Source organism: Homo sapiens, chromosome 4 (genome assembly GCF_000001405.40).
Source record: "Homo sapiens chromosome 4, GRCh38.p14 Primary Assembly".
NCBI classification, from domain to species: domain Eukaryota; kingdom Metazoa; phylum Chordata; class Mammalia; order Primates; family Hominidae; genus Homo; species Homo sapiens.
In genome coordinates, this window is record NC_000004.12 from 99,508,065 (window position 1) to 99,534,663 (window position 26,599).

At 37.1% G+C, this 26,599-nt stretch overlaps 1 protein-coding gene across 2 annotated transcripts in view; it reads left to right on the forward strand.

Annotated features, from left to right (window-relative positions):
• Positions 1–2,956: 2,956 nt before the first annotated feature.
• C4orf17 (chromosome 4 open reading frame 17) overlaps positions 2,957–26,599 on the forward strand; it is a 31,283-nt gene continuing 7,640 nt past the window's right edge. For both annotated transcript variants that reach the window (NM_032149.3, XM_011532315.3), the window contains exons 1-5: positions 2,957–3,208; positions 4,925–5,144; positions 14,436–14,645; positions 16,457–16,521; positions 21,751–21,894. In NM_032149.3, coding sequence (NP_115525.2) covers positions 5,018–5,144; positions 14,436–14,645; positions 16,457–16,521; positions 21,751–21,894 — 546 coding nt within the window. In that variant the 5' untranslated portion in view covers positions 2,957–3,208; positions 4,925–5,017. The remainder of the gene's footprint in view (positions 3,209–4,924; positions 5,145–14,435; positions 14,646–16,456; positions 16,522–21,750; positions 21,895–26,599) is intronic.

Consider the following 26,599-nt stretch of genomic DNA (forward strand, 5'->3'; position numbering starts at 1 on the left):
AACTTGTAATGCCTTGCTTTTTTAAAGTAAGCAAGGGAGCATCTCTGATAGTGGGGAAGGCCTAAATCTTCTTTTAAAGGGCTTATCTGATTAGTTTGGGACAGACCAAAATAATCTCCTTTTGATTAACAGAGATTGATAAACTCAAAGTCATTCTGATTAGGGACTTTATATCTGTAAAATCTCTTCATCTTTGCCAGAAAATGCAAACTAATTGCAGGAGTGATATTTATCATATTAACAGGTCTACCCACACTCAAGAGAAGGCGATAACACAGAGTATGTACACCATGGGGAGGAAATCTTGGCAGCCATTGTAGAATTCTTTCTATGACACTTATGTCAGCATTTTTGTTGTACTCTGGAGATCACAGAGTGAAAAGCACCATTTTCTGTGATTGTAGATATTTGTTACAAATTCGAGACTGAAACATATGCTTTCAAAATTGACAGAACAGAATATAGGGTGGTCAAGGCACCAGACGAAATTAAATTTTATTCTTCCATTATGTTAAATTAGCATCTTTTCCTTTCCGAAATCACTTACATTGCTTTCTCATATGTTAATCAGACACCTGTGGCATTTTTATAGTAAATGCAAAGTGAGGATTTTAGGTGATCAAAATGAATAGGCCTAACTAGTTCACAGCTTTGAGATGTGGCCACACTGCTTATTCATGGAGAGAACAGAGCTTACAGAGTATCCTGCATATTTACACTTGTATCAATCAGCTTGTGCTGCCATCACAGAATACAACAGACTGAGTGGCTTCAACAACAGAAATTTATATGTTCAAAGTTCTGGAGGCTGAATGTCCAAGATCAAGGTACTGGCAGGCTTAGTTTTTGGTGAAGCCTTGTCTTAGTCAAATTGGGCTGCTATAACAAAATACCCTAGACTGGGCAGCTTAGAAACAATAGAAACTTATTTCTTACAGTTATGGAAGCTGGTAAGGTTAAGAACAAGGCACTGGCAGATTGAATGTCTGCTGAGGGGCCACTTTCTGGTGATAGATGTCCCCTTCTTCCTTTGTCCTAACATGGCCAGCTCATGCAAGGAGACAGAGAGGGCTCTGGTGTTTCTTCCTTTTCATGTAAGAACACCAGTCCTATAAGATTAGGGTCCAACCCTTATAATCTTATTTAAACTTAATCATCTCCTTGAGGGCCCCATCTGTAAATACAGTCACATTGGGGGTTAGAGATTAAGATACGAATTTGTTGGGGGACACAACTCAGTCCATAACAATTTTCAAAATATCTGTGGGCAATGAAAAACCTGTGGATTTCCTGCTTATCATGACCCCAGATAAGTTTAAAAATCACTAATTACCATTCATAAATATATGCACATATTCCAAAAAAACTTTCCATCTGTTTTCTTTGCTAAAATAATAGAGTATCCAAGGCAACAAGGATACCTGTGCTACCCTGAGCAGTGCAGCAGAGCAACCTCTGTCTTTTTGATTCTGACAAAATTAATGCAAACAAGCCAGTTGTATCATTTTTTTCCTAGTAATGAGACAGGAAAATTCCCCATGGGGCTTCATAAATGGAAAATAACATAGTTACATAGCCAAGTACATGTTTATCTCTAGTGACCCTCTCTAAGGGAAAGCACAGCACACAGAGTGTAGACTTCTCCTACCCAGAGTTAGGTATTAATGTCAGGATCTGTGGTTGAGATTGCTTTTTATAACCCGATTTATACTTTCTCCCTCTCTTGTTAGAGCCCCTGTTTTAGAATGGGGTGTCAATGTGCCCTGTTAAGAAACTACATTTTCTATCCTTTCTTGTAGCTATAAATCATCAATGCAACATAGATTATTGTCTGAGACTCATGAGAAGGCTCTTACAAAGAGAGCAGATAGCTAGCATGTGCCCTTGTCAGCCCTTACCTCCCCAACCTTCCTCTTGTTTCCTGCTTGGAGTACAGATTTGATATGTGCAAATATAGCAGCCATCTTGGATGACTGGAACTTCAGGAACCATCTTGAACAAGGGATAATTTCAAAAATGGAAGCCTAATATTAAGAAAGATGGACCTAAAACATAGATGAAGCCAAGGTCCATAATGATGCTTCATAAAGCTTCCATACCAACCCTAGATGGTTGAACTCTTCCATGTGAGGAAGAAATACACATCTATCTTACTTAGAACACTATTTCTGATCTCTGTTATTAGCTGTGTAATAAAGTTTCTCAACTGATACAAAGTGAAAACTAAAAATCTCAGAATACAAAAATTACCTTAGAAAGTCAATTAGATCTCCCATAAAATTCCCCATAAACTACAGTAAAACAGGGAGGCATAAGGCATAAGAATGGGTTATAGGCAAAGGCAATTAAACCTTTAATTCTTGGGCCAGTCAAGAAAACAGACAAATTAGGCTCTATCCTTGCATTGTTTTAAGCTAGTATTTGCCTTTCAGAAATTGTCTATATTGCTCTTAGAGATTGTAATTCAGAAATTCAAAATCATGTGTATTCTGAAAAGTCTTGTGAAGCACCGCATGTACATGTGTGTGTGTTTCTCTATGACTTCTAATTAACATTTCAATATTTTTTCATGGCTATTGAACATGTCATCAGCACAGACATCCTGACTACCAAAGCAGTATATTCCATTCACAACTATTAGAAACTCCTTAAAAGCATGTATACCTTCTCCCCGTTGGTTTTGGATTAAGCTATATTTGGTTATATCATAATTGTTCTTTAAGCAGAATTGTGGGAAAAATTATAAATTTGATTTATATTGCTCTCTGTTTTATTTTTCTTCTTTTTCTTTCTCTTGCATTGGATTTAACTCTATTATATGTCCAAAATTGAGGAAAGCCATTTGTGGCCACATGGTTTTGTCAAGTGGGTAACTGGAGGTCTGAGAAGAATAGTGGGTGAGAGGTTCTAGAACTTAGATTTTTCTAAGGAATGTTACCACGTTGCTAAGCTATGTAACATATCTTAACAACCAGGGAGCCACACAGGCTCCTTGGAGTAAGAGTGTGAGAAACTGGATGAAGACAGCTGTATTCTTTTGGAAGCGTTCGAGATTGGTCTGTCTCTACCAACTAAAAACTTCTAGCTTAAGTGCAGAGATTTAAGGAGATCAACAAAAACTCAGTCTAGACATATTATGAGGCTGGGAGGGTATCAACAGACTTGAGTTCTTGTCAGCAAGATCACCTGCTTTTAATATTGTCCTCAGGTATAATTTTAAATTCATCATTACAATAATGTTCTAAAATTTTAGGTATGATTTAGTTAATAGTCCTCAAGTTCATTCTTTTTTCAAGAGTATGTGAAAGCCAAATAAGTCTGTTTTAAGAAAATGAAATACACATTGTTTTCTTGTTGACTTTTTTTTTTTCAAAATTTAAAGTGTATCACTACCCTTTAATCTAAGAGAATTGATGTGGGACAGACACATACAGAATAACTGAATAATATCAGCTAACATTTAAGTCAATTTCATCAGGTAATAGACAAACAGACTGAAATCTAGGCAATAAAACAATTAATCTGTGGTCACTTTGCTGGTTAATGGCAAATCTGGGACCATGAATCCTATCTTTAAATTTCTGGTTTAATGTCTTTTTCACTCTCCAAATTGTCTGCTGTACTCTTTTCCCCTCAATACAAGTAAAAAGCAAATTTACTGGCTTAATTGTACAAAAGGTCCCACACCAAAAGAATGAGTAAGTCTAAAGTGTGATTTAAACAAAGAGATTAGAACTAGCTCCTCACTGTGATATTCATAAACAGCAATAAGAAAATATACTTTTTATTGCTAGATAGATATTTTCTGCATTTAATGTCTACATATATTTTACCCAACCTAGGATAATTTTAGTATTTATATATATCAAACTGAAGTTCCTGAAAACCAGATATTCTGTGGCAACAAGTCTGGGAATTTATACACCATACAGTCTAAGTATATAGCATGAAACACTTAAACATAGATTGCTTTGTTCTAAAAAGGTAGTCAACGATCTAAAAGCATCCATCCCAACAAAATCCTGAGATCAATTTCTAGAACATGAACATTTTTTGACACTGCAAATTATTCTAACCCAAAAAGTCTCTGCCATGGTTATAAATAAAATGTGTATTTCCCAATTCTGCTACGATGAATAAGATTTTCATGTAAGATAGAAAAAATACAACAAGCACCAGAAAATCATCCTTCTTAGATTTCAAAAGCATACTATTTTCAAGAAAATTTAAATAACGACTTTCTATGTTCTTAATCCAGAAATGTTCTTTCTCACATGGTTGTGAATTCACCAAGATACATAACATTATCTTTAATCTCCCAGGTCTATGACACCATAGGTGTCTAAAAATGTTAACTGTTACTCAATATTGCAAACAACAACATGGCAAAGGTTCTCTGGTTTATCATCTCCAGATACATCACTCTTTTGGATTTTTTTCCTTCTTTGGGTTTTACCATTCTCTCCGAAGATGATATACATTTTAAGATGCTGGGTTTTAAAAGTACAATATGAAGGGACTTAACTTAAAATTAATTCAATGTAAAGTGCATTTGTGAGTATTGTATTTAAAAGTCATCATTTAAATTTACTATATCAAAATTGATAATCATGTAATTTTTTTTGGTAAGTCAACAAAGTGAGCTCAAATGAAATTAAAAACAGAATATACTTTATACTTTTTACAAATATAATATAAATATTTTGAAATCAAACACTTTGATTTTCCCCTGGGTAAATGTTTTAGATCCACCCATGCCTATACTTTTCAACGTTTACAAAAATTTGGTCTGAAAACAAAATAGCCTCACATTGCTGTAACATGAGAAACAATTTAGTTCAAGCAAAGAAGATGGAGAAATGTTTGATATATAAGAAAGTGACAAGAAACTCTTGTCAGAATGTTTGTCATTTTGTGATTTCAGGGTCTGAGCACATCTGGAAGTGAGGTCAATCAAGTTAGACCCCAAAAACTTTTGTGACAACAGTGAAGAGGGGAAAATAAACACACCACAAACATGAACCTCAACCCCCCGACATCTGCTCTTCAGATCGAGGGCAAAGGCAGCCATATTATGGCTAGAAATGTAAGCTGCTTTCTAGTCAGGCACACCCCTCATCCCAGAAGAGTCTGCCACATCAAAGGTAAGGTGACTTAAGGTCCTAGTATGTGTCTCTATTCTCTACACTTGGGCTATTTGATAATTCTGGCAGGTAAACACAACGCTGCTATTCAAAATATTTAACCACTGGAGAGGTATGGGAATTGACTATTGGGACTAGATGCCAGCACTGTAGTGAGAGCAGAGGCCTGGAGTGAGAGCAGAGGCCTGCAGTCCCTCTCTGTGTTGGACAGTAACCCTTAAATTGCTTGATTGTTAGGACAGGGGCCTGGAGAGGGGCCAAAGTGGCCAGGAAAATGGGGACCACTCAGGGAGCTCAGGGCAGGCTTGACCAATTGATATAAAAATATTTCAGTATTTTAACAATCCACACATCTGCATGCTAAATATCATCCCTAAGGAAGCATATGTTTTACTCTTGCTTCCTTCCCTTCTGTCTTGTCTTTTCTCCCTCCCTCCTTGCCTCCTGCCCTCATTCCCTCCCTTCCTTCCTCCCTTTCTTCTCTTTCCTTCCTCTCTCTTTTCCTAGCTTTTACTTTAACTTTATACAGTAGAATTACTCAAAATTAGATATTAATAACAGCATTTCCCTTTTGAGAGAGGCAGTTCAATGGAGCTTGGATTGAAGAATTTTAAAAGTATACAGTTTTTAAACACATCTTGCATTCTGAGATGTTTTGAGAGGTACAAAGAGAAAAGGGTTCTGATGTTTTGAGAGGTACATTTCTCAAGGTTATGAAATATATGGAAAACAAGCAGAATTGTTTGGACTTCATGGGGTGAACCAGCCAATTCACCTAGGATGGGGTGACTGTGTGATACCACCCCCGACAAAGTAGCATATCAACACTGGCTATTGGGCGTAATCTAAATAGACCCTCACACCCATCCCTGAGATTCTTATCCCCAAGAGAAACGCTGCCATAGTGAGCTCCAGCAGATGGAAATGTGTCATATTCCTGAGGTGACAGAAAAAGTGATAATAAAAACCAATGTCATTTGGCTTAGGCAAATAATTCATGACTAAGACCACAAAAGCAAATGCAACAAAAACAAAAATAAATAAATAAATGGGACCTAATTAAACTAAAAAGCTTCTCCACAGCAAAAGAAATAATCAGCAAACAGACAACCTGCAGAGTGGGAGAAAATATTTGCAAACTACGCATCCGACAAAGGACTAATATCCAGAATCTATAAGGAACTCAAACAAATCAGCAAGAAAAAAACAAATAATCCCATCAAAAAGTGGGCAAGTAACAGGAATAGAAAATTCTCAAAAGAAGATCTACAGACAGCCAACAAATGTGAAAAAAATGCTCAACATCACTAATTATCAGGGAAATGCAAATTAAAACAACAATGAGATATCACCTTACTCCTGTAAGAACGGCCATAATTAAGTTAAAAAAACAATAGATGTTGGTGTGGATATGGTGAAAAGGGAACACTTTTACACTTATGGTAGAAGTGTAAACTAGTGTACAACCACTGTGGAAAAACAGTATGTAGATTCCTTAAAGAATTAAAGGTAGAACTGCCATTCAATCCAGCAATCCCACTACTGGGTATCTACTAAAAGGAAAATAAGTCATTATATGAAAAAGACACATGTACATGCATGTTTATACCAGAACAGTTCACAATTACAAAGATATGGAACCAACCTAAGTGCTCATTAACCAAGTGGATTAAAACAATGTGGTATATATACACCATGGAACACTACTCAGCCATAAAGAGGAATGAAATAATGTCTTTTGCAGCGACTTGGATGGAGCTGGAGGCCATTATTCTAAGTGAAGTAACTCAGGAATGGAAAACCAAAGATCATATGTTCTCAGTTACAAGTTGGAGTTAAGCTAGAGGATGCAAAGGCAGAAGAATGTTATAATGGACTTAGGGACTCAGTGGGAAGGTTAAAAAGCGGGTGAGGATAAAGGACTACATACTGGGTTCAGCGTACACTGCTTGGGTGATGGGTGCACCAAAATTTCAGAAATCACCACTAAAGAACTTATCCAGTAATAAATCATTCTGTTATAAAGACACCTGCACCTGTATGTTCACTGCAGCGCTATTCACAGCAGCAAAGACATGGACTCAACCTAAGTGCCCATCAATGATAGGCCGGATAAAGAAAATGTGGTACATATACACCATGGAATACTCTGCAGCCATAAAAAGAATGAGATCATGTCCTTTGTAGGGATATGGATGGAGCTGGAAGCCATTATCCTCAGCAAACTAATGCAGGAACAGGAAACCAAATATCACATGTTCTCCTTTGTAAGTGGGAGCTAAATGATGAGAACACAGGGACACATAGAGGGGAACAACACACACTGGGGCCATTCAGAGGGTGGAGACTGGGAGGAGGGGGAGTGTCAGGAAAAATAACTAATGGGTACTAGGCTTACCACCTGGATGATGAAATAATCTGTACAACAAGCCCCCATGACACAAGTGTACCTATCTATGTAGCAAAACTGCAGTTGTACTCCTGAACTTAAAATAAAAGTTAAAAAAAGAACTTATCCATGTAACCAAAAATCACCTGTGTCCCCAAAAACATTGAAATAAAAATAAAAATTAATTATTAAAAAAATTAAAAATAAAAAAAAGTCATGATACAAATAAACCAAGCTTTGTTGAAAAAAAGGGCAGATCCTGGAGATAGAGAAGAGAATTAGGAGGCTGTTGCACCTGTGCAGATACACGAGGACAAACATCCCTGCTATGATCTTGGCAGCAGGACCAAGCAATGGCAGAATATGAGGCTAGAGAGAGTTTGCAGGGAAGAAATGAAAAGGTCCTGGTAACTGATTAGTATAGAAGGTGAAGAGGAACAAATCACATATCCTTTGCACCTTTCTCCACCCTTAGTTATTATAACTAAAAAATGATGAAACAGGAAAGCTGAAAGGGAGAAGGTGAAGTCATTTCATTCAGCAGATGTTTATTCAATTTCAAACATATAACAAACTTTGTTCTAGATGTGGGAGATAGACCAAAGTTTCTGAGGGAGGAAAAAAATGTCCCTACCCTCATGGAGCTCACATTCTTGTCAGACAATAAAATCAATTCAGTGGTATACATACTGCATGTGTAGTAACATCAGGCATCCAAATGGAAATGAGCTGCCCACAGTCCCAAACCTAGAATAGAAATCCATGTCTGAGTCTCAAATAGGAACTTAGGAGTAGAGATGCACATTGGGAGTCATCAGCATAGAAATGATATTTAAAGGCATGAATATTGATCATCTCTTTATTCATTCAGCCATCTATACGTTTATTCATTCATTCAACATTTATTTGCAATGAAAATATAGCGAAGAGCCTGCCCTCAGGAGCTGGACTATCTGGCTGGTCCAGCCACTCTGTAAAATGACATTAGTAACAATAATATCTACAACGGGGTTAAGTATACAAACAAGTAAGGCAAAGAGAACAGCAAAAGAATATTAGGAAACTTTGTAGAAGAAGCTCCATATGCCTGTTATGGGGCATGTGGGGAGGAGGGAAGGGATAATGGGAAGTCGGGGTGGAGAAGTGGATAAGAGGCCAGATTTAGGCAGGCTCTGGATATCATGCTAGGGAATTTATATTTCTTCACAATCAAAATAAATGTCTACATTCATGGTTTTTACTTCTTCTCCTCGGGGCCCCTCTTCAGCCTACCGAAGCGTGGCCTTTTCATCCACCATTCTGCATAGGCTGGGCTTGCTAAGGTTGCCACTATCCTTCAGTTAGACAAATCCAATGCAAAGAGGATCTATTGGCTCAAGTAACTGGAAAGTCCATCAGGGAGGTGGGCTTTAGGTTTGATTTGATGGCTCGCTTAAACAACCTGCTTTTTAAAAGCGCTTCTCTCTGTCTTCCACAATTCCAGACTCAACCTAGAGCTGGCTTGCTCCTCTCCTAGTGGCAACATAGCTACATCAGTTCTTAGTTTCACATCTGCATGCCACTCTGACTTCTTTCCCAGCAGATTTCGCAAAATTCTCTTTACATTTTCATTTTACCAGCACACGGCAGGTCTCATGCTATCCTTGAATGAATCCTCATGGACAGGGAAGTGGCATGCACAGATTAGTAGGCCATGGTTCAAATAACCAATCACTACAGCAAGGGGAATGGATTCAATCTTCCCCAGAACATATTGCTGCAGGGGCTGCAGGGGCTGCAGAGTGGTAGATAAGGGGAGGATAATGAAGCAAAATAATCTGGGTACTGTTGTTAAGGAAAGATAGAAACAGGTTCTGGGCAGAATTGACAGATATCCACTACACTGCAATCCTCATCTTGACCCCTTAGCTGCATTTGGCACAGCTAACCACCCCTCCCTTCCTGTCTCTCTTTCCCTCTTTCTCTTTCTTTCTTCACCTTTAAAAAATGTAGATTCTGTAACAATATATGCTTCAGTTGTTTTTCCTCTACCTCTGTGCCTTCTCCTTCCTAGCTTAATTTTTGTTCTTCAGTAAATGCTGGAGTCCCTCACAGCTCAGTCCTTGGCTGTTTTCTCTTTTTAATCTGTACTGGGATGCTAGGCAAACATGTTCATTCACAAGTTTCAAATACCCTCTATAGACCAAATATTTTTCAAATATGTATCTCAGACTCAGACACCTCTTCAAAAGTTTAGACCTGTATATTCAACTGTCTACTTGCAAGGCATGGAATGCCTCATGGGCACCTTGAACTGTGCTCTTCAAAACTGAACTCTTGATCTTCCTTCAAAAGCAAGGTCCCCCAACCAGTGTATCCTAACAAATAAATGGTGTTGTAAATTTGAAGTTTGTAAAACTGAAGTTCTTCTTTAACTCCTCTCCCTCATTCTCTTTCCCTTCCAATACTTCACTTGACCTTGTCATTTTCCTTCTAAATATTTTGTAAATTAAGCCACTTCTCTCCATGGCTACTGTCACAGCTCCATTCTAGGCCACTGTTATCTCCTCCTTTGATGACTACTTTGCAATCTGTAGCCCTCATAGCAGCTTTACTTCCACTCTTGCCCTCTCTCCAGTCTATCCTCCATAGAACAACCAGAAAGATCATATTAAAATGTAAATTTAACTGTTTAGGCCAGGCTCAGTAGCTCACACTTGCAATCCCAACACTTTGGGAAGCCAAGGTGGGAGGATCGCTTGAGGTGGGGAGTTGGTGGTGTACCTGTAGTTCTAGCTACTCAGAAGCTGAGATAGGAGGATCACCTGAGCCCCGAGTTCAAGGCTGCAATGAGCCATGATTGTGCCACTGCACTCCAGCTTGGGTGACAAGCAAGACCCTGTCTCTTTAAAAAAAAAAAAAAAAAAAAAAAAAAAAAAAAAATATATATATATATATATATATATATAGAGAGAGAGAGAGAGAGAGAGAGAGAGAGAGAGAGAGAGGGAGGGAGACAGAGAGAGAGAGAGACTGTTTATCCTACACAAAATCCTTTGGAGGCTTCCCATGCATTTAGGATAAAGTGGTTAATTTTGACATAGGCTAAAATGTTCCCTATTATGTGGCCTCATCTCCTATCAACTCCCTCCCCCATTATGCATATGCCACAGTGGACTTGTCTAAGTTGCTTGAACATGTCACAGGCCCTTTCCCACCTCCGTCTGGATTTCCACACATACTCTTCCCTCTAATTATAAACTTCCCCTCATTATTTGTGGTTCCTCATTTTGGTTTAAATATCATTTCAGAGAGACTTTTCAGGCTTCACATCCTCAATCTAAATTAGATTTTCTTATGGTATTTTTTCATAGTACTGTATATTTTTCTTTAAAGTAATTGTCTTAGATGACTCTGAGGTGGAGATTTGTGTGAAGGAGCTTTATTAGGAAGTGCTTTTGGGAACAACACTGATAAGAAAGCCGTAAATGAAGGAAGAAGAACTGGGTAGAAGGGGAAGTGGAACTGCGGATACAATAGGGACCTCAGCCAATCGCACGAGGAGCCGTGGAGCTGGGATATCCCTTCAGAGGTGTCTCAATTCCAGATAAGGGGGCCAGGCCTTTGTAATTCCCACCAACCAGTCACTATATACAAGAGCTCTCACTGTGTACAAGAGCTCCCTTCAGCCAAGAGCAATTCCTAGAGAGGGACTCAGAATGAGCCATAAGTAACTGACATATGTGGAGCTGGGGAGCTGAGAGCCTAGGTGCTGAAGGCATGATCTAGGTAGGTGGTGGATGTACTACAGCAATTACCACACCTTATGGTGTGGTAATAGTTATTTTCTTCATTATTTGAATAGTTTCAGAAATCCTCCACTAAGCTGTGAGCTCCATGAAGGTGTGTCTGTTTTGTTCATGATTTACCTCAACTTCCTAAGGAGTAGTTGCCACAAGTGAGGTGCTAGATAAATTATTGTGGGAGGAAAGGAGTTTAAATTGCATCCAGATAAAATTGTAGAGTTACTGACAGATTTTAAATAGGATTTATATTCTACATCAGTAGTCTCACAGTTCTGTGTCCCTGAGCAATTGATTTCATTCAAAAGATCATTCTAGCTGCATTGTAGAAAGTGGAAGATGAGCAGGACCTCACTAGACATTGGGAGATCAGTTAGAAGACTGATTCAGTCATCAAAGTGGGAAGGAATGAGGGACAGGCCAGGGCAGAGAGAGGAGAAGAGAAGGTTGAACTTGGGGTAGAGAGAGGAAAGTCCAGCTAAGCAGCACAGAGAGAACCAGCAGAGGGAAACAAATTCAAGGAAAATGGCTAGGTGATGAGCAAAGACATATTCCTAAAGGAGATTAGGAAAATGAAGGCCAAGGGGAAGCAAACAGATGTCACTGTAAAGAAGTCATAGATGGCCTTGGATTACATTGTCTTGGCCAAACCTGAGGGCACAGTTTTTCACAACCTACATGTGGGAAAAAACCCCAAAACCCACATTTAATTTTTTTTTTTTTTTTTTGAGACGGAGTCTCGCTCTTTCACCCAGGCCGGACTGCAGTGGTGCTATCTCGGCTCACTGCAAGCTCCGCCTCGCGGGTTCATGCCATTCTCCTGCCTTAGTCTCCCGAGTAGCTGGAACTACAGGCGCCTGCCACTGTGCCCAGCTAATTTTTTTTTTCTGTATTTTTAGTAGAGATGGTGTTTCACCGTGTTAACTAGGATGGTCTCGATCTCCTGACCTCGTGATCCGCCCGCCTCAGCCTCCCAAAGTGCTGGGATTACAGGCGTGAGCCACCGCAACCAGCCAACCCACATTTAATTTTTAATTGAAACTTTTTTTCCTATGAAAAACAAATAGTATTACATTGAAGAATTTTCTTTCTGGTTTTATATACTTTAAAGCACTTGATGTATACCTCTTCTATATTTTATTTCACATTCTGCTTCACATTTTCTTATCATATACTATAAAACTATTGGCAGGCAAGGGACTAATTTTTATGTCTTCAACTCTCCTCTAATGCCTGCCACAAAGCCATGCTCATGGTAATATATGTTCAATTGAAAGAAAAATTTCAATTCCAACATTATTTGTCTGCCTTAGAAATCTAGCAAATTTTAAAACTCATTTCTTGGTTGGAGGGAATCTTTGATTAACATTTGGTCCCATTTACAAACTTTGTTAATAGCTTTAAAAGCTTTAAATGGCACTTATTCATTAAATATACTTGATTTTTAAAAATATTTTACATACTTAACAAATTCTTACTAAGCTGTAAATAACTCCTGTAAGTTAAATAAATTATACTTATAAGTATAGATTAAGCCATTTCTTTACTGTTTACCAACTTAATAATATGTTCATAGTGTTCTACTTAAAATCAGAAATGTAAAATCATTTTAACATTTTAAACTGTAATTCCAAAGTTAATTTGTTAGATATTCTAATATTCCAAATTAGCTAATAAGCATTAGCTTAAATGTGTATTTAAGATGTAGATGGGGCCAGGCACGGTGGCTCACGCCTGTAATCCCAGCACTTCGGGAGGCTGAGGTGGGCGGATTACAAGGTCAGGAGTTCGAGACCAGCCTGTCCAACATGGTGAAACCTCGTCTCTACCAAAGATACAAAAAATTAGACGGACATGATGGTGCACATCTGTAATCCCAGCTACTCAGGAGGCTGAGGCAGGATAATCACTTGAGCCTGGGAGGGGGAGCACTGGCAGTGAGCAGAGATTGCACCATTGCACTCCAGCCTGGGCAACAGGGAGAGACTATGTCTCAAAAAAAAAAAGAGTAGATTTTAATTTGTGACCATTGCATATTGTGTATTTAAGATCTATATCTTAAATAATTTAATCTTACATTCTAATGCAGCTCAGAGAAGCAGTGTGCAAACAGATGTATTATGATATGTGATAAATGCTGTGGAAAAAATAAAAGCACATAAGGGGACAGAGAGTGATCAGGCACATTTCAGACAGAGTTGCCAGCAAAGATGATTTTGATGTTATTTGAGAAGACAATTAAGAATTAGGTGAACCAGTGGTACTGGAGAGAGATTTGGAAAAATGAGCAAGTGTAGAAAACACTATCCAGAAGCTTGCCTGGCAATTTCTGGGAAGACAACGCAGCCATCTCTTAATACCTGTCATAACTCATTGATTAACAGAAAGCAATGCCCGGCACACCCCCATTTCCTAAGCTGTCCAATTCCACAAGACTTAGCATTGATATTGAAAAGAGAACCTGTCTATAACTGATTATTTGAACCAAATCCTATATTTGAGCCAAAAGTGAATAGTTATTTTTAGGAGAGAGAGTGAACCCAGAAGTCTCTCACATGAGGAAGGAGTTCCTTTTATACCAACTTCTCCTTCCTCCTTCTTTCACAATCTACCTTATCCTGTCTCCTATTTCCAGCTCCTACACCTTTTTACCTCTGCCAGGACAAAAGAGGAACCACTGTATCTCTTCTAGAAGACCTAGTTACATTGAGGCATTCTGAGTGCTTTAAAAAATTTAAATCTGGCATTCATGAAGAGAGCTAGCACAAACCCTCTCAGTCATTATCAAGCTTTGGGAAGTGTGAGATTTGTCTGGGATAGAAGGTCTACTCCACTTGAATCCCAGACCAACATCGACGATGTGGTCTGGCCCTGAAGACTGACAAAATGGCCGGAGATTTTAAGGAAGCATGTAATTGGCCACACTGACTTTCAAAGAATGTCTACCTTGCACTGGTTCATAATACAATTTTTTTTTTTGGTTTATACAATTTGAAGTTCAACATTTTACATACATTTAATGATATTTGGTTGGGAAATTGTTGATCATTCAAAGAAAACCTTCCAAACATCTAATCTGGTTGCTTGATCTGTCTCTTTTTTTAATCTTTACTCACCTAGGCTTGAATAACATTCCAATCTGTACTGTGAATGATGATGAGAATGCATTTGGAACATTGTGGGGAGTTGGCCAGTCTAACTACTTAGAGAAGAACAGGATACCATTTGCCAATTGCAGTTACCCCTCCAGCACTGCAGTCCAGGAGAGCCCTGTAAGAGGAATGTCGCCAGCCCCAAACGGTGCCAAAGTGCCTCCACGGCCTCATTCTGGTGAGTTGAGTTAGAACTGATGAAATGTTTCCTTATGCCTCCTGCAAACAAGGCTGTGGGGAGTCTATATGATGCTAAAATAGCTGCAGTGGTTTTTACATCAAGTTTCCTCACTGTGAGGAACATAAATTTTGTTATATAATTTTTTTTCACTCTTCTAATCTCATCAGTAGCACAATGATGTCAAAAATGTTATTACCATTACTATTAATAGTGCCTAAGACATATTTGGTGTGGTCCTAGTCTTTAATCCCTACAAAACTAGCTAAAAGATGCCAGAAATGAATGTTGTTCCAACACTGATGGGGAAATGATGTCAGACGAAAATCGAGTCCTGGAAACACAGTAAGAATGAAATTGCATGTTTACATTGTCCTCATGAGACTGTCGTCTCCTTAAGGTCAGGCCCTGTGTTACTGCTTTCTGTGTTTCTGCCATCCTTCCTTTCTCCCCAGGTCCCAGCACAGTGCCTGGTCCTTAGTAAACAATTGAATTAATTTTTACTGAATTGAAGGAAAAAGGCACTGATAAAAGTAAAATGTGGAAAAATCCAAAGAGCAAGGTAAAATAAGAAAGGAATTCTGCATGGTAGAAATTATATCCAGTTCTCTTTTTCTTGCCCCATACAATTTACATGCTATTACTAAAACTATCAGGACACATGAAAATTATTATGGCATAATGTAGTAAAATATATCTCTAAAGATAGCAATAAGAGTGGTCAATTATAGAGTACTCACTATATGGACATATACTGTTCTAAAGTCTTCATACTTAATTCATTTCATCCTTTCAAGAATTTCTCTTCCCTCCCTTCTGCTAGCAATGAAGAGTCAAAGCCCACTTATTTTCCCTTATTTCTTGTGTCCCTTTTTATACTGTAGAACCTAGAAACTTAAAAACTACATTTGCAAGAAAGAGGCCTTTGATGGGGATCAGGTGTCACCACCTAATAAGATTTCTATAGCAGATGTGGGAAAAAGTCATCTTTTTCTTTTATCTATAAATTAATGTAAAGGGAAATTAAGTAAAACTTTAAGTGGTTTTAGGGCAGCTTAGGGGGATCTAGTTATATGACTGAGTATGAAATGGGTAGGGTTGAGAGGCTGATAAAAGAAGAAAGAAAATAAAGAATGTAATTGTAATTCAGCACAAACCATCTTTCTGTCTAAAGGTCAAATAACAAAAAAATTCTCTTTAATTAGATAAAGTGACATTTATATGGACAGAAAACAGAGAAAAATATGTCTTATACTAAAATATATACTTTTTTTTTTTTTTTTTTTTTGAGACGGAGTCTTGCTCTGTCGCCCAGCCTGGAGTGCAGTGGTGCAATCTCCGCTCACTGCAAACTCCACCTCCTGGGTTCACGCCATTCTCCTGCCTCAGCCTCCCAAGTAGCTGGGACTACAGGCGCCCGCCACCACGCCCGGCTAATTTTTTTGTATTTTTTAGTGGAGATGGGACTTCACCGTGTTAGCCAGGATGGTCTCGATCTCCTGACCTCGTGATCCGCCCGCCTTGGCCTCCCTAAAATATATACTTTTTAAATCAGTTTAACCAGATCAAGAAAGCATTTGCCGTGTGTTTTTATATCATCATCTTGGGCATAGAACTAGTTTTTAAATGCAAATACTTTATGTTATTATAATGCCATTTACCTGCAAATTTCCTAATATTTATAAACAGATTCCTGAATTGACCTTAAAGTCAGAAACACTCTATCTATTTCAGCAATTGACACATATATCATGTGATATAAATTCTTTTTCAGTTTAATCTAAATACATTTTTCCTCAATTTTATTTCAGAGCCCAGTAGAAAAATTAAAGAGTGCTTCAAAACTTCCAGTGAGAATCCCTTAGTAATTAAAAAGGTAAGGAACAGCTATTTACTGCTATCTATTTAGTTTGACTTCTATAAGTTCCTCTCCTTTTCTTTACATACCTTTCCGAAAAGTCACCATGTTTCACAATATTTTTACAGCTTTAGTAAAGTCTAATTAACATAATATAAGATACACATATTCAAAATGCACAATTTAATGAGCTTTGACAAATACACACCTGGGAAACTACCACTGCAGTCAAGAGAATGCACGTCCTCATCACTCCCAAAAGTTTTCTCACGATTCTGGCCCTCCCACAGGCAACTGTTTGTCTGCTTTCTGTCACTAAACATTAGCATGGACTTTTTTGGATTTTATAAAAATAAAGTCATATGGTGAGTTCTCTTTCTAAAATCTGGTTTCTTTAACTCAGCATGATTATTTTAAGATTCATCCATGTTTTTATGTGCATCAATAGTTCATTCCTTTTTATTGCTGAGTAGTATTCAATTGTATGGTTATCCTACAATGTGTTGATCTATTTACCTGTTGAGGGACATTTAGGTCCTTCCCAATTTCTGGCAAAGCTAATAGGAACATTTGTCTACAAGTCTTTGGATATATACTTTCTTTTCTCCTGGATAATTCCTATGAGTGAAATAACTGTGTCTTATAGTAGTTGTATGTTTAAGTTTCTAAGAAATAGCCAAATTGTTTTCCAAAATGATTGTCCCATTTTACATTCCCACCAGCAGTGTATGAGTTTTTTTTCCTCCACGTCTTCCCCAAGCTTAGAATGGTCAGTCTTTTTATTTTTAGCCAGCCTACTGGGTATGTAGTAGTATCTTATTGTGGTTTTAATTTGCATTTTCCTCATGATGTTGACATCTTTTCCAATTCTTACTTGCCATGTATATATCTTTTTATGGGAAATATATTGTTAGATCTTTCGTCCACTTCTTACATTGGGTTGTTGGCCAGGCGCAGTGGCTCACACCTGTAATCCCAGAACTTTGGGAGGCCAAGGCAGGCAGATCATGAGGTCAGGAGATCGAGACCATCCTGGCCAACATGGTGAAACCCCGTCTCTACTAAAATACAAAAAAAATTAGTCGGGCTTGGTGGTACGCGCCTGTAGTCCCAGCTACTGGGAGGCTGAGGCAGGGGAATTGCTTGAATCCGGGAGGTGGAGGAGGTTGCAGTGAGCCGAGATGGTGCCACTGCACTGCCGCCTGGTGACAGAGCAAGATTCCGTTTCAAAAAAAAAAAAAATTGGTTGTTGACTTTTTTATTATAATGTTGTAAAAGTTCTTCATATATTCTAGATTAAATCTTTTGTTATGCATGTTTTTGCAAATATTTTCTTCCAGTCTGAGGCTTGCTCTTATTTTGATGTGTCTTTAAAAAATTTGTAATTTTTTCCATCATAGTTTCGCATCTGCATGCTGTTTATCTCTGTATTGTGCTTTATTGCAATGGCTAGAACCTCTAGTACAATGTTGAATAGAAATGATGAGGGCAGACATCCTTGCCTTGTACCTGATCGTAGGAGGAAAGCGTTCAGACTTTCACCATTAAATATTATGTTCATATTAGTGGATGACCTTTATATGGCTGAGAAAGTTCCCTTCCATTCCTAGTGTGCTAAGAGTTTTAACAGAAATGGGGAGAGATGTATTTTGCCAAATGCTGTTTCAGTATCTAGCTGAGATGATCGAATGATGTTTCTTTTTTTAGTCTGTTAATATAGTGAATTACATTGACTAAGTTTCAAATTGGAACCAACCTTGCATATCCAGTAAAAACCTCACTTGGTCATGATGTATTATCCTTGTCATACACTAAAATTTCATTAAAAATTTTTAGCATTCTTGTGTCTATGAGGAATATTTGTTTGTAGTTTTCTTATAAAGTCTTTTTGTGGTTTTAATATCAGCATAATGCTGGCTTTATAGAATAAGTTGGGAATTCCTGTTTAATATTCTGGAAGATTTTGTGTAGAATGGATATTAATTCTTCCTTAAAAGTTTAGTAGAAATCTTCAGTAAAATATTAGGCTTGATATTTCCTTTGAGTCAAGGTTTTTAACTACAAATTCAATTTCTTTTCTTTTCTTTTTTTTTTTTTTATAGCTATAGGCTATTTGGGTTGTCTATTTCTTCTTTAGCCAGCATTGGTAGTTTGTATTTTGCAAAGAATATGTCCATTTCATCTAAGTTGTTGACTTACTGATGTAAAGTTTTTTAAAATATTCCTTTTATTATTTTATAATGTTTAATGTTTGTTCTCTCATTCCTGATTTTGGCAATTCGTGTCTTGTAGCTAGAGGTTTGTGAGTTTTATTGATCATTTTAAAGAATCAGTATTCCATTTCATTGAGTATCTCTATTGTTTTGCTTTTGTGTTTCCATTTCATTGACTTTGGCTCCTATCTTTATAGAAGGTAAAATCTTAGGTCATTGATTTGAGACTGTTTTTTTCTAATATAAGCATTTATTATTACATTTTTCCTATAAGCATTACTTTGCCTGCATCCCCCAATTTTACTGTGTTGAATTTTCATTTTCGTTATGTTCAGAATACTTCCTAATATCCTTTTTAATTTCTTCTTTCACCCATGGGTTACTTAAAATCATATTATTTACTTTCTAAATATTTGGGGGATTTTCCAGATATCTTTATGTTATTAATTCCAATTTAATCCCATTGTAGTCAGAGAACACACTTTGTATACTTTGTAATGTTTTAAATGTATTGAGACTTGTTATATGGCCTAGAATATTGTTGACTTTAATAAATTTTTCATGTACCCATGAAACAAATATTCACTCTGCTGTTGTTTGGTAGAACGCAATATAAATATCAATTAGGTCAAGTTAGGTGATACTGTTGTTCAAGTCTTCTACAGCAGCAGCTCCCAAACTTTTTTGGAAGACTATTTTTCTACAGACCTATGGTGGGGTGGGGGGAATGGTTTCAGGATGAAATTGTTCCACCTCAGATCATCAGGTGTTCCATTCTCATAAGGAGCACACAACCTACATCCCTTGCATGTGCAGTTCACAATAGGGTTTGCACTCCTATGAGAATCTAATGCCACTGCTGATCTGACAGGAGGCAGAACTCAGGCGGTAATGCTCACTTGCCCTCCCACTGCTCACATTCTGCTGTGCAGCAGGTTGTGGTCCAGGGATTTGGGGACCCTCGTTCTATAGCCTTACTGATTGGCTACTTTTTCTGCCAATTATTGAGGGAGAGGTGTTGAAATCGCTAATTATAATTGTGGATTTTTAAATTTCTCTTTCCATTTCTACCAGTTTTTAATCATGTATTTTGAAGCTCTCTTATTAGGCATAAAACTGTTTAGGTTTGCTATGTCTTCTTGATAAAATGACCTTTTTATCATTATGAAGTTACTCTCTTCATCCCTGACACTATTCTTTGCTTTAAAATCTATTTTGTTACAAAACTGTTCAGATTTTCTATTTCTCCTTGAATCAGTTTTTGGTAATCTATTCTTTTCTAAAAGTTGTTTATTCAGTCTAAATTCAGATTTATTGACAAAGTTATGCATGATATCCTTATATTCTTTTAAAAATATCTGCTGGTTCTGTAAGAAGTACCCTTTTACATATTAGTTGTGTTAACTTGTGTCTTTGTTTTTCTCAATTAAAAGAAGTTTATAATTTTCAACAAAAGTTTATTCAATAAGTTTATTGATTTTATTAGTGTATCAAGGAATTGATGTTCATGATTTTTTGATTCTCTATGTTGTATATTTTCTATTTTATTAATTTCTGCTGTTATTAGTTTTCTCTTTCTATTACATACTTTATCTTATTGCTGTTTTTCTAACTCATTTTATCTTTCTAATATATGTATTTTAAAGCTATAAATTCCCCACTGAAGATTGCTTTAGCCACTCTCACAATTTTTGTATATACCATTTTCACTGAGTTCAGTGTATTTTCTAATTCTCATTATTATTTCTTCTTTGACTCATGACTCAATTGCTGGACTTTATTTTTGTGACATATCCAAGACTGGGTAATTTATAAGGAAAAGAGATTTAATTGACTCACAGTTCTGCATGGCTAGGGAGGAGTCAAGAAACTTACAATCATAGCAGAAGGCAAAACTGGCATGTCTTACATGGCAGCAGTCAAGAAAAGTGAGAGCCAAGTAAAGGGGGAGGCCACTTATAAAAACCATCAGATCTCATGAGAACTCACTTTCATGGGAATGGTATGGGGGAACCTGACCCCATGATTCAATTAACTCCACCAGATCCTGCCCTTGACATATGGGGATTATCACAATTCAAGGTGACATTTGGGAGGGGACACAGAGCCAACCATATCAGTTGATGAGAAAAAAAAATTGGATTTGTTATACATCATCTCACGTAAAGTCAGTTTCTAAGAGCTATCAACAACATTAAGGACTTACTGTGTTACTATTTTTCCATAACAAAGTCTGTATAATAAACTTAAAAAAAGAATGCCTCAAATATAATGTAGATTTATTTTTGCTAAACATAAAGTTAAATATTGTTTTATCAATTCCAATCATCAAAATCCCAGGTTGTTGGCTCATTTAGGCACTAAGTTCTATGTGTTGTTATAAATCAGTCACTTCTGAAGGGTAGAAAGCCTTTCCTGGAACAGGCCCATGGATCTAAGGCTTCTGTAACTCTTCATGGACTTAAAAGCTCCCAGAACCTTTTAATTTTTAAAAATTGCAAACAGTATACTTACCTCCCAGAATGGGAAAATAACCTTTCTATTTCCCTTCCAACTGATAAAGGGAAGAAATTTAGTTTGCCTTTCTAACTCTCAGCTGTTAGCTGTTACTTGCAGCAAGGAAGTAGCAATTTGCATCATGCAGTTGCTTCACAGACAAAGCATAAAACCTCTCAGCTGTCTTTTCCTGGCCATAAAAGAGAAATCTTCCCAACTTAACAGCAAATCTCATGTGTCATGAGTTGGCTGTTATCTGAAACTGCAATATAAAAGGTCATACATTGCATATTACAAATTTGTTATCTTGTTATTTAGCCAAGAGTTTAAAATGATTTCATCAAAAGTTAATAAGATATCACTATTTGTTTTGTCTCCAAATATAAATATTTGATAGCTTAAGATAAAACTAACCTTTTTTTACTTTCATGTATCTCTCTTATTAGGCACAATATTTCTCATTCATTTTACATTGAATTTTCATAGAAAATATAGGTGGATGCAAATGTATATTGGTTATATTATACTTTTGATTTAGGAAGAAATTAAGGCCAAAAGACCACCATCACCTCCAAAGGCATGCTCTACTCCTGGCTCCTGTTCTTCAGGGATGACAAGTACCAAGAATGATGTGAAAGCAAACACCATTTGCATACCAAACTATCTGGATCAGGAAATAAAAGTAAGTATCAGGTTTATCAAATCCATAACTTGGAAACAGCATGAATATACAAAAAAATTTATACCACTAGCATCCTTAAAACTCTTAAATGATTCCTTACTGATAACTGAATTGATTTAAGACTGCTTAGCCTGAAATCCAAGGCATACTCCTATTTTCATTCCCAGTCTTAACTTTCCTTGGAATCTTGCCACTGTCAGATAAACACAATCTTTGATTCAGACGTAATGAAAAGCTTGGTGTTTATCACACAAACCCAACCCTATTCTTTCCATCTTTCGTTATCATCTTTCTAATACTTGAGAGACACTACTCTTAATGTCTTGCCGCAATCTATACATTTACTTCTCATATTTTAAAGCATAGATTCCTCCAATCAACATTCATCTCTTCCTCTTTTCCTTGCAAAACTATGTCTTCAAACTTTCTCTGTCTGGGGTTATAAACTTAGTTATATTAATAGTAATATGTCATATCAGCTTCCTGAAAGGCCGTCCCCAGCCACAGTTATTTCTGAGAATGATATAAAATCAAGAATACGTCAGTCAGCTGATATTTGTCATCTGCCATTTTTTCCTTCTTTTAATCTCTTTGGTAACCTCCATATTGAACCACCATAAGTCCCACTACAATGAACTAAGGGTTAGAAGATTGTAATGATGCCTCTAACTGGAATTTTAAGTAATCAGTGTCTATAGTTATAAATACAAATAACAGAGCATGTTGTAGAGATGGTTATTGAATAAGCCTAACAAAGAAGTATTTTAAAAGTAGAGCACAGAGTATGATAGTGACATTGGTGTAATAATTTATGCTGATAATTAAACTTGAGGAGAATAAAAGGAAATGTATAGAAAGGAGAGTATCTACATATTTGACTTATGTTTATACATTATTTCCTGATGATTCTGGCTAAAGGCTTTATATTATACAGAGTCTTCAGAACCACTGTTTCACCTGCTACACTCTGGCCACTTTGATCTTTCTATAATTTTCTCATTCTCACCTTAAGAGCTTTCCTCTAAGAATTATCTTTCTCTTTATTGGCTCAGTGATCACCTGCTCATTAAGGTCTCAGTTTCAGTATTGCTTACTCAGAGATACTTTCTCTAACCATCCAATCTAAAGTAGCTAACCAGTCACTCTATATCCCATTACCCTTTGTTTTTTTTTGCATAAATATGCTATATATGTATGTTCAGACTTATTTATTTAGTTCAATATTTTGTCTCTCTCCTCGCCCCACTCCCACTGAAATTTAAATCATATAAGATCTCACACTTGTCTGCCTTTGCTACTGCTTAATCTTCAGTGCCTAGGTGAGTGCTGGACACCTAGTAATTGTTAGATAAGTATTTGTTGGATATTGAATAAATAAATTAAAAGGAAAAGTGAACTCAAAATCAAAAGGATAACTGTAGAAAATCAGCTAAATATATAGTTCTCAACTCAAATAATCCATAAAATGAATGCAGTTTTAGTAAGACTGTCATTCTTCCTTGGGCATATCAATAGAACAGCGTGATCCTATAGAGCTGGCTTTCTGGGCATCTATGAAAGAGCCCTCCTCTCAAAAGCATCTTCTATCCTACAAAAATCAACTTCACTGGACATCGGTTGATATAAAACACACTAAAATATAAACTCTTTGAAGGCAGGGATCTTGTCTGCCTTGTTCACAACTGATTTCTTAGCACTCACCACTTCGCTTGAAAAATATTAACTGGCACACAGACAATGGCATTTTGCCAAATAGTTGTTGACTATTTGCTAAATAAATGAACGGAGAGGGAATAAAGTGATAAAGTAGGTTTTATCAAGATGTTTTGGCTTGTATAAAAGAGCCCCGGAAATACTGCTCATCTTGGAGGCATTCTATTCTTCCATGTTTCCTACAAAAAAATGTGTAATATTTTCTAATTTCCTACTATCCATTGAGTAACTCTAAATGGGCTGTGAAATCAGGAAATGTTTTTGCAGGGGTATGTGTGAAAAGGTATGCAGTTTCATGATTATTACTTTAAAAGGAAAGAGAAACATAATTCCGTGTCTATTAGCACCTTGTTTTAAGCCTTCCTTCCAAAGATCTTTATAGACATAACACCAAAATGTCTGCCAAACTCTTATAAACTGTTGGTGGGACTATAAATTAGTTCAGCCCTTGTGGAAAGCAGTTTGGAGAGTTCTCTAGGAACTATAAATAGAATTGCCATTCAAACCAGCAGTCCCATTACTGGGTATATACACAAAGGAAAATAAATTGTTCTAAAAGATAAAAAGACACCCGCACTGGCATGTTTATCACAGCAATATTCACAATAGCAAAGACATGGAATCAACCTCAGTGCCCATCAGTGATGAATTGGATAAAGAAAATGTGGTACATATACACCATGGAATACTACACAGCCATAAAATATGGAATAATACATTTTGCAGCAACATGGATGCAGCTAGAGGGCATTATTCTAAGTCAATGAATACAGAAACAGAAAACCAAATACCGCATATTCTCACCAGTAAATGGGACCTAAACACTGGGAACATGTAGACATAAAGATGAGAACAATAGGCACTGGAAACTCCAAAATGTAGGAGGAAGGAAGGAAAGCAAAGAATGAGAAACTATCCGGAACTCTGTTCACTATTTGCGTGATGGAGTCAACTGAAGCCCAAAGCTCAGCATTATTTGGTATATCCACATAACAAACATGCACATGTACCCGCTGAGTCTCAAATTTAAAAAGAAGAGTGGACCAAACACATCCATTTATTCTGTAAATATTTAATGTCAAACTACAAAATACTAGAGTGTGAGGACACAATTAATTTCTTCATTCATAGAGGTTATGAAATAATAGTGCAGCTGTTATAAGAATATGTACCAGGAGACTTTGTAGCTCAGAGAGCCTTTAAGGAGAAAGGGACATAAAGAATGTTTAGGATATAATTAGAAGATAAAGAGAAGTGTGGAAGAGATCTTTCCCAGTCAAGTGACCTTCGTATCTTAAGACTAAGGAGTGAGAGCATTGCTTATTTAAAACAACGAACAACAATTAATATGGTTGATGCAGACAGTGCATGGAGAAAGTGGCAAGAGATGGGGCTGGAGACTTAAGAACAGACTGGATAATGTAATACTTTATAAGTCCTATCAAGGTGTCCAGATTTCATCCCAAGGGGTGTGGGAAGCCAGCAAAGAATTTTAAGCACTAAATGATACTGAATTACTTTGTAAGCGTAAGAATTACATAGTTAGAACTGTACTTTAGAAATCACTCTGGATACAATATGCAGATTAATTTGGGGAGATAAGGGGTGACAAAGTTGCAAACAAGGGACTCTGGTTCCAAAATGATAGATTAGGCTCAACGCTTAACCTCCTGCTGTAAAAAACTATATAATTCAGCAAAATATATACAGAAATGATTTTCAGGTACTGGGCAACAGACACTACAGATTGGACCATTGAGAGAAGAGAAACAATTGGGGTTATTTCAATATTCAACCCAGACTTCTGCCTGGGGCACATGCCTAATCATGGCACAGAGAAGTGGAGCCTGAACAGAGAGCAGCAGCTTCACTAGGTACAGAAAACAGAGTTTAGCATTTGAGGATGCTGAGGTGGCTGGAACTTGCAAAGTAAGATCTGAAGAAGATAAATCTATGCAGAGAATGAGCTCCAGAAATTTAGGGGTACCATTAAGTGTTCAGTCCAATATGAAGCCTCACAGGTACAGGGTGATTCTGAGACCTGGTAAGGAGAGATAATGGGAGGTATCACAGAGCTTAGAGTTGCTGGAGTTCTAAGAAACCTTGAAAAGACCTTGCCAGAGTGAAGATACCTTGCGGGAACATACCAGGACTTCAATTCAGACCCCAGAAAAGTTACACCTTAAAAATAGCCCTGCAATAGAGGCTACTCTAGGCTAGATTCTCAAATCCTAAAATAAAATTTCAAGACATCAAGTTCACTTGCCAATATATTAATTACGTTCAAGAACAAAACACTATTTTTTCCCTCAACTTTTATTTTAAGTTCCGGGGTACATGTGCAGGATGTGCAGGTTTGTTACACAGGTAAATGTATGCCCTGGTGGTTTGCTGCACAGATTATCCCATCACCTAAGTATTATGCCAAGCATCCATTAGCTATTCTTCCTGATGCTCTCCCTCTCCCCCAACTCCCCCTGACAGGTCCCAGTGTGTGTTGTTCCCCACCATATGTCCATGTGTTCTCATTGTTCAGCTCCCACTTATAAGTGAGAACATGTGGTGTTTGGTTTTCTGTTCCTTCATTAGTTGCTGAGGATAATAGCTTCCACCTCCATCTATGTCCTTGCAAAAGACATGATCTTTTTTCATGGCTGCGTAGTATTCCATGGTGTATATGTATCACATTTTCTTTATCCAGTCTATCATTGATGGGCATTTAGGTTGATTCCATGACTTTGCTATTGCGAATAGTGCTGCAGTGAACATATGCATGCATATATCTTTATAACAAAATAATTTATATTCCTTTGGGTATATACCCAGTAATGAGATTGCTAGGTCAAATGGTATTTCTGCCTCTAGATCACTGAGGAATCACCACACTGTCTTCCACAATGGTTGAACTAATTTATACTCCCACCAACAGTGTAAAATTGTTCCTTTTTCTCCACAACCTTGCCAGCATCTATTGTCTTTTGACTTTTTAATA